At 43.9% G+C, this 13372-nt stretch overlaps 1 protein-coding gene across 12 annotated transcripts in view, besides 1 other annotated feature; it reads right to left on the bottom strand.

Moving 5' to 3' along the window:
* CSMD2 (CUB and Sushi multiple domains 2) overlaps positions 1 to 13372 on the bottom strand; it is a 651845-nt gene that overhangs the window by 526080 nt on the left and 112393 nt on the right. The gene's annotated exons all lie outside the window — the stretch shown is intronic.
* Positions 11042 to 11144: a silencer, noted in NCBI's record as "fragment chr1:34516720-34516822 (GRCh37/hg19 assembly coordinates)". NCBI's record gives its function as "represses an EF-1alpha promoter that drives an FKBP-Casp9 reporter gene in an ReSE screen in phorbol 12-myristate 13-acetate-treated (for megakaryocytic differentiation) K562 erythroleukemia cells {active_cell/tissue: K562(+PMA)}" and the evidence as "EXISTENCE:reporter gene assay evidence [ECO:0000049][PMID:32094911]".

Raw genomic sequence — 13372 nt, forward strand, 5'->3', positions numbered from 1 at the left:
CTATTCAGGAGGCTGAAGTGGGAGGATCACTTGAGCCTAGGAGTTCGAAGCTGCAGTGACCCACGATCGTACCACTGTGCTCCAGCCTGGGCAAAAAAGTGAGATCCTGACTCAAAAAAAAAATTAAATTAAAAAAAAAATAATAAAAGACTTAGTTGTGCTCTACCCAATTGGGATCATCAGTTTGCATATGAAAGGCATACTTCCGGGAGAGCTCTTTGCTATTTTAGGTCAACAAAGTCCCAAGATGTCAAAGTATCAGAAAATACAGACAATTAAAAAACCATGATTAGTACACAGAGTATAACCTGACCTATCCTGACTGACATCCCTTTTCTTTTCTTTTCTTTACTAGCACTAACCATAATTCCTAATTAGATGTTTATTGGGGTGAGTAGTTTTCATTAAGGTCTCCCTGACTAGATGAAAGCACCCCAAGAGCCATGGCTGAGTTTGTGTTGCTCACCTTGCATGTGTATTTCTAAATGAATGGATAAATGAATGAATGGCCAACTATTTGGTGTTTCGAGGAGCAGCCACACAGAGTCTTAGGTGACTCTGATGCTGGCAGTATAGACAACAGGAGGGAGAGACATCCAGACTTGGGCTAAGTAACACTTAGTGACATGGCAAATCCCCTTCACACCCATGAAATGAGGCGAGATATAAGGAAAAAGCAGACTGCTTCGAACACCTCCACTTCTTCCTAATCATTCCAGGAAAAATAAAAGGGTGGGAGCTTTTATTTTAAAGAGGGTATTATTAGGCTGTGTGCAGTAGCTTGTGCCTGTAATCCCAACATTTTGAGAGGCCGAGGCAGGAGTATCGCTTGAGGCCAGGAGTTCGAGATCACCCTGGTCAATATAGTGAGATCCTGTTTTTCCAAAAACTTTCAAGAATAGTTGTGCATGGTGGTGCATGCCTGTAGTCCCAGCTACTCAGGAGTCTGAGGCAGAAGGATTGCTTGAGCCCAGGAGTTTGAGGCTGCAGTGAGCTATGATCATGTCACTGCATTCCAGCCTGGGTGACAGAATGAGACCCTGTCTCAAAAATAAATAAATGGGCCATTTATTTATTTATTTAAATAAGGAAGAGGGGACAGAAGTGCTGGACTGTACACAAAAGGACTCCCATTCTAAGCAGAAGGACTTGAACTCCCCCACCAGAATTTGGCTCGGATACAACTGAGCTTCCTGCCTTCAGGTGTCACTGAGGCCTTGAGCACATCAACAATGCCCAGTGTGGACTGAGACCTGAGGGTCTTCCTGGAATGCCAGGTCTATGTAAGACCTTGCTTGGGAGAATCCCAACAGTGGCTGAAGTGAAATTCTTCCCCTTTATGCATGGGACTCAAAGTCAAATTGTTTTTAATGCAGGAATATGACATTTCTTCCACCCAAGTGAAGTGTCTGCAAATTCCTACCCATGGAAATGAAAGCTCATTTTCTTACTCCAGGAGTTTGTGCCCATGTTTGAGAACTTCAAGGCTCTCAAGCTGACCAACTACTCACTTCCTCAGGCTGGGGTCTCTTGGCTTTGACGTGCCAGGCTTGCAGCAAGGAGACCCTAAAAGACCCCTCACCCTGTGGGGTGAGGAACAGTTGAAGACAGTAGGCACGTATAGTCTGGGGTCCAACAGAGTTGGCAAGGCAAAGGATAAGAACTGTCTCCACATCCCTAGGGCCATGCTTGACACACCAATGTCCTCATGAAATGCTTGGCAAAGAAAAAGGACCACAGGACAGAGGCTCCAGAGAGACACACTTGGGCTCCACGCAGAGAAGAACACTGGCATTCACATCTGCCAAAGGTATGAGCGTGCCACCTCTCAAGTTCAATCCAATTTTAATCCCTCAAATATTTACTGAGTGGCAACAGGTCTCAGATGCTGATCCTCAGAGAGGAGGAGGAACATACCTGGTTGAATCTTGGGCCAAGCTCAGAGACATGGCTTTGCTTTTGCCAGTCAGAGAACCAGTGAGAAAGGCCATAATGAAACTCTGATCTCAACAAACTCCAACCTGGAATTATGGAGTCTATTAGTACATTGGGTTGACCCCATTACTGGAGTAAATGTAAGTCTTGATTCCTGCTTGATAGAAAAACATAGAAGACAGGGAAAGACGGAAGAATTAGGCTTTGTCCAAATGTCTTCCAGGCACATGGAACTTTCTGAAACTGTCTGGAGTAGGGCGGCTGGCAAATCAAAACACTATCTGCCAAGACTGTCAGTGTGACAAGTGTTGCTTACACTTACTCTTTTATTCCCAAGGTCAAATTGGCATGTCATTTTTCATATCACTGTTTGATGTGCTAACAGCCTTAAATGAGAACCATTCAATAAAAGCCCAATTTGCTATATTACCATTTATTCCTGGATAATTCTATATTAGTTGGGCTCTTTAAGATTGTCTCTGTGCTGCCCCAAAATCTGGAGAACCATGTGATAAACCCCCACTTTTCATAACTTTCTGAGGATGGAGGCAGAGCCCTGAGTCGTCCCTGAGTGAGTGTTGCTGGGACTGGTTCCCTAGGCCTCAAGTGAAATAAGAGATCTGGATCAGCTAGAAGGACATAATGATCAGGAATGACAGAGATGGATGGCTCTCTGGGTGACGTGGCCCGAGGCTTTGCCTTGCAAGACCTGGCCTGCCTTTCTTTCTACCTCAGCTCATGGCTCTCTCCCCTTTGGTCTTTCCCCCTCTACCCACACTGGCTTCTATTTTTTGAGAAGGAGTCTCGCTCTGTGGCCCAGGCTGGAGTGCAGTGGCGTGATCTCGGCTCTCTCCAAGCTCTGCCTCCGGGGTTTCACACCATTCTCCTTCCTCAGCCTCCCGAGTAGCTAGGATTACAGGCCACCACCATGCCTGGCTAATTTTTTTTTTGTATTTTCAGTAGAGATGGAGTTTGACCATGTTAGTCAGGATGGTCTCGATCTTCTGAACTCGTGATCTGCCCGCCTTGGCCTCCCAAAGTGCTGGGATTACAGGTGCCCGCCACCACGCCCAGCTAATTTTTTTGTATTTTTAGTAGAGACAGGGTTTCACAGTATTAGCCAGGATGGTCTCAATCTCCTGACCTCGTGATCCACCTGCCCCAGCCTCCCTAAGTGCTGGGATTACAGGCATAAGCTGGCTTCTTATACTGTCCTTGAAGGTGCCACATCTCTTCCCATCTCAGGGCCTTTGCAGATGCTGTCCCTAGGACTCTGTGCCCAGATGTATCCCTTTGCCACCCAGGCGGCCTCCACCTTACCTTCCCCCCAACCCTGCATTAGCTTTTCAGGGCTCACTTTCAGCATCAGTTCCTCTGGGAAAGAGTTTAGGGATCCTTGATAAATGTCCTCAGAGAATAGAGTACTTCTACTTTGTAACATTCATCCCAATGATCATGAATCGATTTTCTTACTGAATTGTTATATATCTGTCTTTCCTTCTTGATGGTAAGTCTCTTGGAGGCAAAGACTATCTATAACCTTTTCACTATATCACTAGTGCACAGTACATATTAGATGCAATATAGAGTCAATAAATGACGGTTTCACTATGAGAAAGCAGACAGAAAAGGCCTGACTGCTATCCTTTGAAAGGCCAGCTTACAAGTATAATCCCTGTCTGGCATCTGGGAACCGGGATTTCAGGAGGGTTCCCTCCATTTCCAGTACTTTCAAGAGAGGTCTAAACAATTTGTACAAACATTATGGTTTATGCTGAACACCTGCTTTCCACCTGGGAGCCTAGAATTTTGGTATGTGACAGGAAGAGGGGTCTAGGTAATCATCTCTGTGGGAAAACCCTGGGCAATGAGTCTCTGCTGAGCTTTCCTGGTTGGCAATATTTCATATGTGTTGTCACAATTAGTTGCCAGGGGTTTGAAGCACGACCTGTGTGACTTTGCCAGAAGAAAACTCTTGGAAGCTTGTGCCTGGCTTCTCCCAGCCATCGCCCCAGGATGCACCTTTTCCCCTTGCTGACTTTGCTCTGTATCCTTTCACTATAATAAATCATAGCCATGGGTACAAATTTATACTGAATCCTATGAGTCCTAATAAATCATGCGGGTGGTGATGCAGACCCCCCAACACAGAGACTGACAAATTAATACAACCAGATTTTTCTGGAAAGTACCAAAACTAGGTTATTTTTCAAAGCATGTTTCTAGAATGTTCACCGGTTAAACAGAATTGGGAAATGCTGGGTTAAATAAAGCAGGGATTTTTCAGAAAACAATTAAAAAATAAAATGCGTAGGAGGACTTTTAACAAGCTAAGTCAATGTAAACCTTCAAGGCTGGAATAGATTATGTAACAGATCCCAAACCCATTATATTATAGCCCCTTTTATTCCTAAAGCATCCTGTGGGCTGGGGTTCTGTGGAACCCTCTCTGGGAAACAATAGGCCCAGAGAATGCAGGTTATTATGAAGCTGAGGCTGTTGCTACAACAATCATGAGGCTGTTGCTATGTCAGCCATGAGGCTGCTGACACTCCCTATCTTGAAAGTTCTGAAACCCAGAGTGACCAAAGGTCTGAGATGTGGTTCTGTGCTGCCCCGAGATCTGGAGAACCATGTGATAAGCCTCCACTTCCGAGGGTGATCTATGCATGTCTCTTCTTTGCAATCTTAAAGAGCCAAACTAATATAGAATTACCTAGGAATAAATAGTAATATAGCAAATTGGGCCTTTATTGAATGGTTCTCATTTAAGGCTGTTAGCACATCAAACAGTGATATGAAAAAAGACATACCAATTGACCTTGGGAATAAAAGAGTAAATGTAAGCAACGTTTGTCACACTGACAGGCTTGGCAAATAGTGTTTTGATTTGCCAGCAGCCCTACTCCAGACAGCAGCCACTAGTTAGATACATAAACCATTAAGCTAAAAACAGAACTATCATTACAGGCATCATCTAGTAATTTGCAGGTAATTGATGGACATTAGTCATAATCACACACCATACACACACACACACACACACACACACACACACACACACACCCCTACAAACACAGGTTTTCACTGGTAATTCCCCTTTGCATTTCATCAAGAGCTTCTAAAACTGGGAAATGTGGAAAATCTAGGCTTTTTGTGCCTTTCTATATATACATCATAGACTCCTTTATTCTTAAAGCATCTTGTGGGCTGGGGTTCTGTGGAAATCTCTCTGGGAAAGGATATGCCCAGAGAAGGTAGATCATGGAGCTGAGGCTGTAGCTACATTAGCTATGAGACCACTGACACTCTCAGTCTTCAACACCCTGAAACCCAGAATGAGAGGAAGTCTAAAGAGATTATTCTTGTGCTGTCTCAAGATCTGGAGATCCTTGTAATAAACTCCCATTTAAGAGGGCAATCTTGCATTAGCTAGATATCTGCTGAAAAAACCCAACTTATGTCCAAAGGATCTTGTCTAGAATGTCCCTGCCTCTCCAGAAAACATCTACTGGCTCTGCAAACCTCTGCTTTCAGCTGCACATGTGCATTTATTTTTGGAGGCTGGGATACCTGTCTTAAGTATGACTGGATGGGAGCAAAGCTAGACCTCCAAATCCCCATATACAGTACACTTTCTAGGATGTGGACTCTCTTTAGAAGCAAGATCTGGAGTCACAGCAGACCCACCTGCTGAGGTCTAAAAATAGGGGAGAAGCACTACGTTCAGAATGCAAATCCTCTAAGCACACTCGCTCCATCAAAACTCAGGGGTGTTTCCCATTGGACTGCAGCGTCTCCTTCTGCAGCAGGGAGCCCTCTTGATGTGCTCTACCCCAACGGTTCCCAAATCATGTTGCACAGAATACTATCCAATATGATGTTAGTAGGTTTGCCTGAAAAAAATAAGTAATTTTGGGAAATGCACCATGGTTCCCAAACGGTGCACCAAGGTGCCCCAGGGCATTGCAGTGAGTTTACAAGGGTAACCAAGGACTATTTTTAACTTTCAAAGGAAATAGTGGCACTTAATATCTGCTGGACACACAAACTATTAGCTCAAGGTGGTTCACAATTTCAGTGTAAAGCTACCTTCCGTTAGATGACATCATATCTTTGCAAAGCTTTGGTAGTTGGTGTGATGGGAATTAGGGACCATGTGTGAATCAGTGTGGAACAGGATATGCAGGTGGTAGTGTCCAATCTGAGTCCAAGGTTTGAGAATCTTTGCAATGACCAACAAGGAAACACATACCATTAGCAATCAATTGTTATTTAACAATTATTTAAGGATGAAACAAAAATGTTTTTCTTTCAATTTATATTATCTTCAAACAGATACAGAGTTGTTGGGGTATAAATACTTATTCAGTTATTTGGACCTAACTACTTAATAAGTGGAGCTAATAGGTATTTCTTTTACCCATGGAGCACCGTGGAAACATTACTGAGACACTAATGGCACCTAAGAAACTTTGGGAACCTTTGCATTACTGTATGAAAAGCTTTGGAAAGTCCTGAATAATAGACAAATACAGTTGGATCCAGCGTACCCCACACTTCTTGGTTCAGTACATGCATGAATAGCTTTATTTACGACATCAGTTGAGAAACTAAATAGATGTTACCCATGATTTGTCTCTATGATCTGATAGGTTCACAAAAGAGATTAAGGCTGGCTTATTCCCACCGGTAACAATTACAAATTTTTCTCATCAATCATTCATTCAACAAATATTAATTGTATGCCCTATTAAACGCTATGTACTATGCTTGGTTCTCAGGATAAAAATGCCTAAGACGTGGACTCACTCTCGAGGGATTTACCCTCAAACGGAGGCATTTACATTAATTTATCTAGAAATCCAGCCAGTTCTCATCACCTTCATTACTACCATCCTGGAACAGGACACCTCCATCTCTTGCCTCAATTACTGCAGTAACCTCCTAACCAGTCTTCCTACTTTCCTCCTAGTCCACCTACAGATCCTCTTTAACACAGCAGCTTCTGTGATCATCTTAAGTCAGATCATGTCACTTCTCTGCTTGAAACCCTTCCAAAAGCATCCCACTCGATTTGGGATAAAAGCCAAAGTCTTCATAATGGTCTAAAGGCCCTAGGGAATCCTCTGCTGCCACTACCCGCTCCCACTCCATCACCACCCTCCTTATCACCAACTACCTCCCCCTGCTCACTCACTCTAACCATAACGGCCGCTTGCTGTTCCTAAAACACACCTGGCAAGTTCTGCCTCAGGGCCTTTGCACCTGCTCTTCTCTCAGTTTCCTCCAGCTACCTCATCTCTTCCCCCAGATGTGTATGGCTTGTTCCTTCATCTTCTGCAGGTCTTTGTTCACATACCCTTTACACCGAGGCTTTGATAACTATTCTACTTAAAATTGCAACCCTCCTCCCCTCCTGTCCCATTTCCTGATTCCCCTTGTCCTGCATTTTCTCCTAACACTTATCATAATCTGACTTCCTATATATTTGATCACTCCTTATTTATTACGTCTACCTTTTCCCACCAGTGTGTGAATTCCACGAGGGCAGGGATTTCTATCCACTTAGTTCACTTATCTAACCCCAGTATTGAGAACAGCACCAGATACACCATAGGAGGTAATTACTGAAGACACAATTATAATGCAATATAGTAAGTGCAGTGATAAGGATGCATCCAGGGAACTTGATGCACCAGCCTGAGCTGATCTAAAAAGATAAATTGTTAGCCAATCATCCAAAGGGCATGGCGGGCTGTGGTAGGATACGGAGGTCATCTCAAAGAGGATGGCACAAGCAGAGGAAAGACAAAACCCACTTTACGTGTAATTTATAAAATTGTTCCCCAACTAATGACAGGAGAACAAATGGATACAACCAGATGTTCCTCCTCCACTTGTTTGCCATGACTGCTTAATTACCAGTCTCCCCAAGAGAGGGGATTTTTCTGGAGGCTGCTCAGCCTTCTAGCAGATGCAGACTTCATTTACTTCCACAGAAGCCTGAAAACCCCTGAGCCAACTTGGTCTTCCATGACAGAGACTGAAGTATCCAGCACCACGTGTCAGGAGGTTGGCAAGGATGGAAATGGGGAAGGAAGCTTTGAGGAAGAGAGGTCGTCATGTTCCAGAAGCCTGCCTCCCACTTCGTGGCCAATGCCTTCTGGCAGTGGCTATGCAGCAGCTGATAATAATGATGATGTTTGTTATTAACCCGTGCACAGGTGCTGCCTTCCATATCTACCTCCCCTAAATCAGGCTTAGTGACATCACCCATTTAGGAATGGAAACTGCTCTCTGTCAAGGCAGCCCTTAAAGTTTGGACCACCCCAGGAGGTTTGATGGAACAGCTGAGATTTACCCAGGCCCTCAGATGGTGCCAGGCTAGGATTTGTTCCTTGTGTGCCAGAGAGACACAAACAACAATTATAAAAATATCAGTGAATGGTCAGCAGATTCTGCATCCTGAGGGCTTTGTGCCCACCTACCCCCTCGGACAGCTGCTCAGGCCAACCTGGGGAAGGAGCAGGTGGAGCCTCTGAGAATTCTAAGAAGGCAAAAGATGCTGAACATGCCTGCAAGAGGATGGAGAAGATGGACAGAAAGAATGGGGGTCTTCTCCTTACCTGCTCTGTACCACAATGCCCTTCCTGTTGGCCGCCAGAGCTGGTTTTGAGCACCGCACCTGGTTTGAAAGATTAGGTCTCCATTTAAAGACAGCGCTTTGCAGTGTGCTACAGGCAGCACCTGTGCACAGGTTAATACTAAACATATTATTATCAGCTGCTGCATAGCCACCACCAGAAGGTGTTGGCCATGAAGTGGGAGAATATCAGGCCCTGTCTTTGTGAACTGGACAGAAATGCTTGTTGGCCCACTTGGAAGGGAGGGTCAGGCACCAGGACACTATGCCCACTGTTTCCCATACTCCAGGGAACTAGGAGAAACAGGAGCTTCCAGAACCATGGTCTCCAGAACCATGGTTCCTTCTCCAGAAGGAAATGTGGAGAGACCCTTCTCAGTAAGAGGGGCTCCAGGGTTTTTGCTCAGGCTGGGACTGCAGGGTAGGCTGAGCCCACAGCTGTGAAGTGTGAAACGTGATTACCCAAGCCCAAGTCACACGTTGTGAACAGTGGAGGGTCAACCTGAATTACATCCAAACCATCGATATTTGCAGTTAATAGCAAAGAGGCTTTACCTGTGGGCCTCATCTGTAGACAAGAGAGGGAGGAGCCACAGAGGCAGTAAGAGAGTTTGGTCACTGGAGAGTTTTTGCAGGTGGTTCAGGGACTTTCTCAGGCCTTACTTCCCAGTGTCTGTTGTGAACCTCTAACTCTGCTGCAGCTTCTAGGATTTTTCAGGGCCACTATGTTGCACATCTTTCAGGAGCACCATTCATATTACGGTAGATGACCCTGGATTCTGAACTGCTGCCTTATCCCTGAATTCTGCTTTTCTGCCTGGACCCTTAGGATAACTGTCAGCTGGAATTTGGAACTGGGTTTTGCCCCCCAACCCCAGATGCCATCTTTTGAATCACTTTTAGTGACATACTGTAAAACAGGGACTTGCTCACCCCTAAGATCCAATCCAAGTGTATAGAGTGAGGTGCCACAGAAGAAAACATGAAACCCTGAAGACAGTGGCAAGCTTTAAGGGACTGACATGTGAAAACAAGTGAGGTATCACTTCCCAAAAAGGTTCCATTGATTGCGCCTTGTCATACTCTGCCAGTTGCTCTGCTTTATTTTTCTCATAACAATTACCACTACCTGGATGGCTTAGGTAATGGACTGAGTGTGAACTCCCAAAGTTTATATGTTGAATTGGTATTTGGAGGTGGGATCTTCGGGAGGTAGTTAGGATTAGATGAGGTCATAAGGATGGGACTTCCAACATGAGATTAGTGCCCTTATAAGAAAAGACCCCTTTCTCTGCCTCTCTTGCCGACCCTGTCTGCAATGTGAAGATGCAGTGAGAATGCAGCTATCTGCAAGCCAGGATGAAACCTCTCACCAGAATCAGGCCATTCTGGCACCCTGATCTTGCATTTTAGCCTTCAGGACAGTTAGAAAATAAATTTCTACTGTTTAAGCCACCCAGTCTACGAGTATTTTCTGATGGCAGCCCAAAGAGACCAAAACAGATTTTGGTACCAGAAGTGGGGTTCCCAAAATGGTACCCTTCCCTGGCATGATAAGCCAACTACCCTGGTGGCAGTTAGATAACACTGGACTGCTTCCATTGTAGAAGGAGAAGTGTTTTGTTCTTACTGAAACAGACACTTATTTTGGATATGGATTTGCTTTCCCTGTATGCAGTGCTTCTGCCAAAACTACCATCCTTGGACTTACATAGTGCCTAATCCACTGTCATGGTATTCCACAATGTGCTGCTTCTGACCAATAAACTCACTTTATAGCCAAAGAAGTGTGGCAGTGGGCTCATGCTCATGGGATTCACTGGTCCTACCATGTGAACCCTCCAATCTGAAGCAGCTGGCTAGGTAGAACAATGAAATGGCCTTTTCAAGACTCAATTACAATGCCAGCTAGGTGGCAATACCTTGCAGCGCTGGGACAAGGTTCTCCAGAAGGCTGTATATGCTCTGAATCAGCATGCATATATAGTGTTCTTTCTCCCATAGCCAGGATTCACAAGTCTAGAAATCAAGGGATGGAAATAGGAGTAGCTCCACTTACTATTACCTCTAGTGACCAACTGACAAAGTGTTTCCTTCCTGTTCTATGACCTTATGCTATGCTAGCCCAGAGGTCTTAGTTCCAAAGGGAGGAATGCTCCCACCAGGTGTCACAACAATGATCCTACTGAGCTGAAAATTAATGCTATGCTAGCCCAGAGGCTAGCATATGCTATGCAAGTCCAGAGGCTAGCATATGCTATGCTAGCCCAGAGGTCTTAGTTCCAGGTGTCACAACAATGATCCTACTGTGCTGAAAGTTAAGACTGCTACCCGGGCACTTTGCACTCCTCATACCTCTGAATCAACAGGCAAAGAAAAGAGTAACTATGCTAGCCAGGGTGATTGATTCTCACTACCAAACAGAAATGGGACTGCTACTACACAATGGAGGTAAGGAAGATTATGTCTGGAATAAAGAAGATCCCTTAGGTTATCTCTTAGTATTATCATGGCCTATGATTAAGATCAATGAAAAACCAGAACAACTCAATCCAGGCAGGACTATTAATGGCTCAGGCACTTTAAGTTTAGGTCACCCCACGTGGTAAAGAACCATGATCAGCTGTGATGCTTGCTGAAGACAAAGGGAATACAGAATGGGTAGTGAAAGAGTTAGTTATAAATACCAGCTGTGACCACATAGCCAGTTACAGAAATAAAGACTGTCATTGTTATGAGTATCCCTCTTTATTTTGTTATGAGTGTTTGCATGTGTATATAAGGATATATCTATTCATGTGTGTATATAAATATACGTAAATATAAATATATAAATATACACACATACATATATATTAAGTAATATGTATTTGTTTTCTTTTTCCTTTTTCATATAGCATAAGATATAATAACTTTATGTTATGGTATTTAAGTATTGTTACTTTTACACCATAGTATTTAAGTTGCAGGATATCAGGAAGAGTAAACACCATTCCAAGATTTTGTCTCCTCCTCTGGTGAGGGGTTAATGCAGGATAGTCATGTCATATTAGGCAAAATTGTAAGTTTGTTATTGTCTTTATTTGGCAGTTAAGTGTGTTTTAAGATGTATATAGTGCAGAGTTGACAAGGGGTGGATTTGTGATGGTTAATATCAGGTGCCAACTTTACAGGGCACAGGATGCCCAGATATTTGGTTAAACATTATTCTGGGTGTGTCTGTGAGGGAGGTTCTGGGTGAGATTAACATTTGAATCAGTAGACTGCCCTCACTAATGGGGGTGGGGGTTATCCAATCCATTAAGGGCCTAAATAGAACAAAAATCTGAGTAAGGGAGAAGGTACTCTCTCTGACTGTCTTCAACCGGGGGTATTGGTCTTCTCTCGTCTTCTGATGGGAACTCAGACTGAAACTTACATTATCAGCTTTCCTGGGTCTCCAGCTTGCCAACTGCAGATCTCAGTCTTCACAACCATGTGAGCCAATTCCTTATAATAAAGCATATGTATACACACACACACACACACACACACACATCACACATACACACAGTAGCGTTCCCCATCTGCAGAGTCAACCAACCATGCATTGAAAATATTAAATAATAAATAATATTAATAAAAATAATAAAAATTTTAAAACAACGCAGTACAATTACTACATAGTGTTTGCACTGTGTTAGGTATTGTCAGTAATCTAGAGATGATTTAAGGGATATGGGAGGATATGGGAGGTTATATGCAATTACTACACCATTTTAAATAAGGGACTTAAGCATCTGCAGATTTTTATATCCATGGGGGGGGGGTCGAGAAATCAATCCCCTATGGGACAACTGTGTGTGTGTGTGTGTGTGTGTGTGTGTGTGTGTAAGAAAGAGAAAGAGGAGAGAGAGTATCCTATAGGATCTATTGAGTATCCTATAGGTTCTATTTCTCTGGAGAACCCAGACTAACACAGCTCATTTATATGTGTGTACTTGTTAATTGCCTATCTTCCTCTATCTGAATGCAAACTCCATTTAGAACAAGAAGGACTGTGTCCATCATGCTTACTCTAGTATGCTCAGTCCCTGGCTCAGTGCCTGGTACACAGTGGATGCTCAGTAAATATACACGAGATTGAATGAATGAATGAGGAATTGGTGGTATAAGTGTTTCGAGAAGAATTAGGTCATTGGCAGCAAGCGCTTTTGAGGGGCTTGGTAAGAGACGACTAAGAGGGTCCGTGGATTTGGCAATGAGGACAGTGGTGGTGACCTGCTCGAGAGCAGTGTCAGTGGCAAGGCTGAAACTGGGGGACAAAGAGCAAGCTGGTGATGGGAAGGAAGCATGTGAGACAAGGAGTTTGGACAGCTCTCTCAATAAGTGGCTTTGGAAGGAAGAGGGTCAATGGCGAACTACTTTTAAACAAAAGCCTCTTTTAACCCCTAATCAGAACATGCTCATTTCTACCTCTCTCTACTGTCCATCCCTTCCCACGCCTTCTCTTGGGGCACACACCATCAATCATCTCTCATTACTTTATTTTTTAATAGAATAAGCAAGTTCATGGGCATTTGTTTCAGTCTCATATTCATTCTCTTGATAGGATAATAATTGATACCGTAAGTGACCTCATTAATCAGCAGGGACAATTAGAATGATGTAAGTGGAGGACAGTTTGCCGTGTAGCCTGTCTGGGAAAGACTGAAAGGTCACCAGATCTCGAAGTCAGAATGGGATGCTTCCATGGGTGACTGGCTCTTCTTTAGTCCACCTTCTTGGGTCCCTCCTAGCAAAGTGGACACA

The sequence above is a fragment of the Homo sapiens genome, chromosome 1 (genome assembly GCF_000001405.40).
Source record: "Homo sapiens chromosome 1, GRCh38.p14 Primary Assembly".
Classification (NCBI taxonomy): domain Eukaryota; kingdom Metazoa; phylum Chordata; class Mammalia; order Primates; family Hominidae; genus Homo; species Homo sapiens.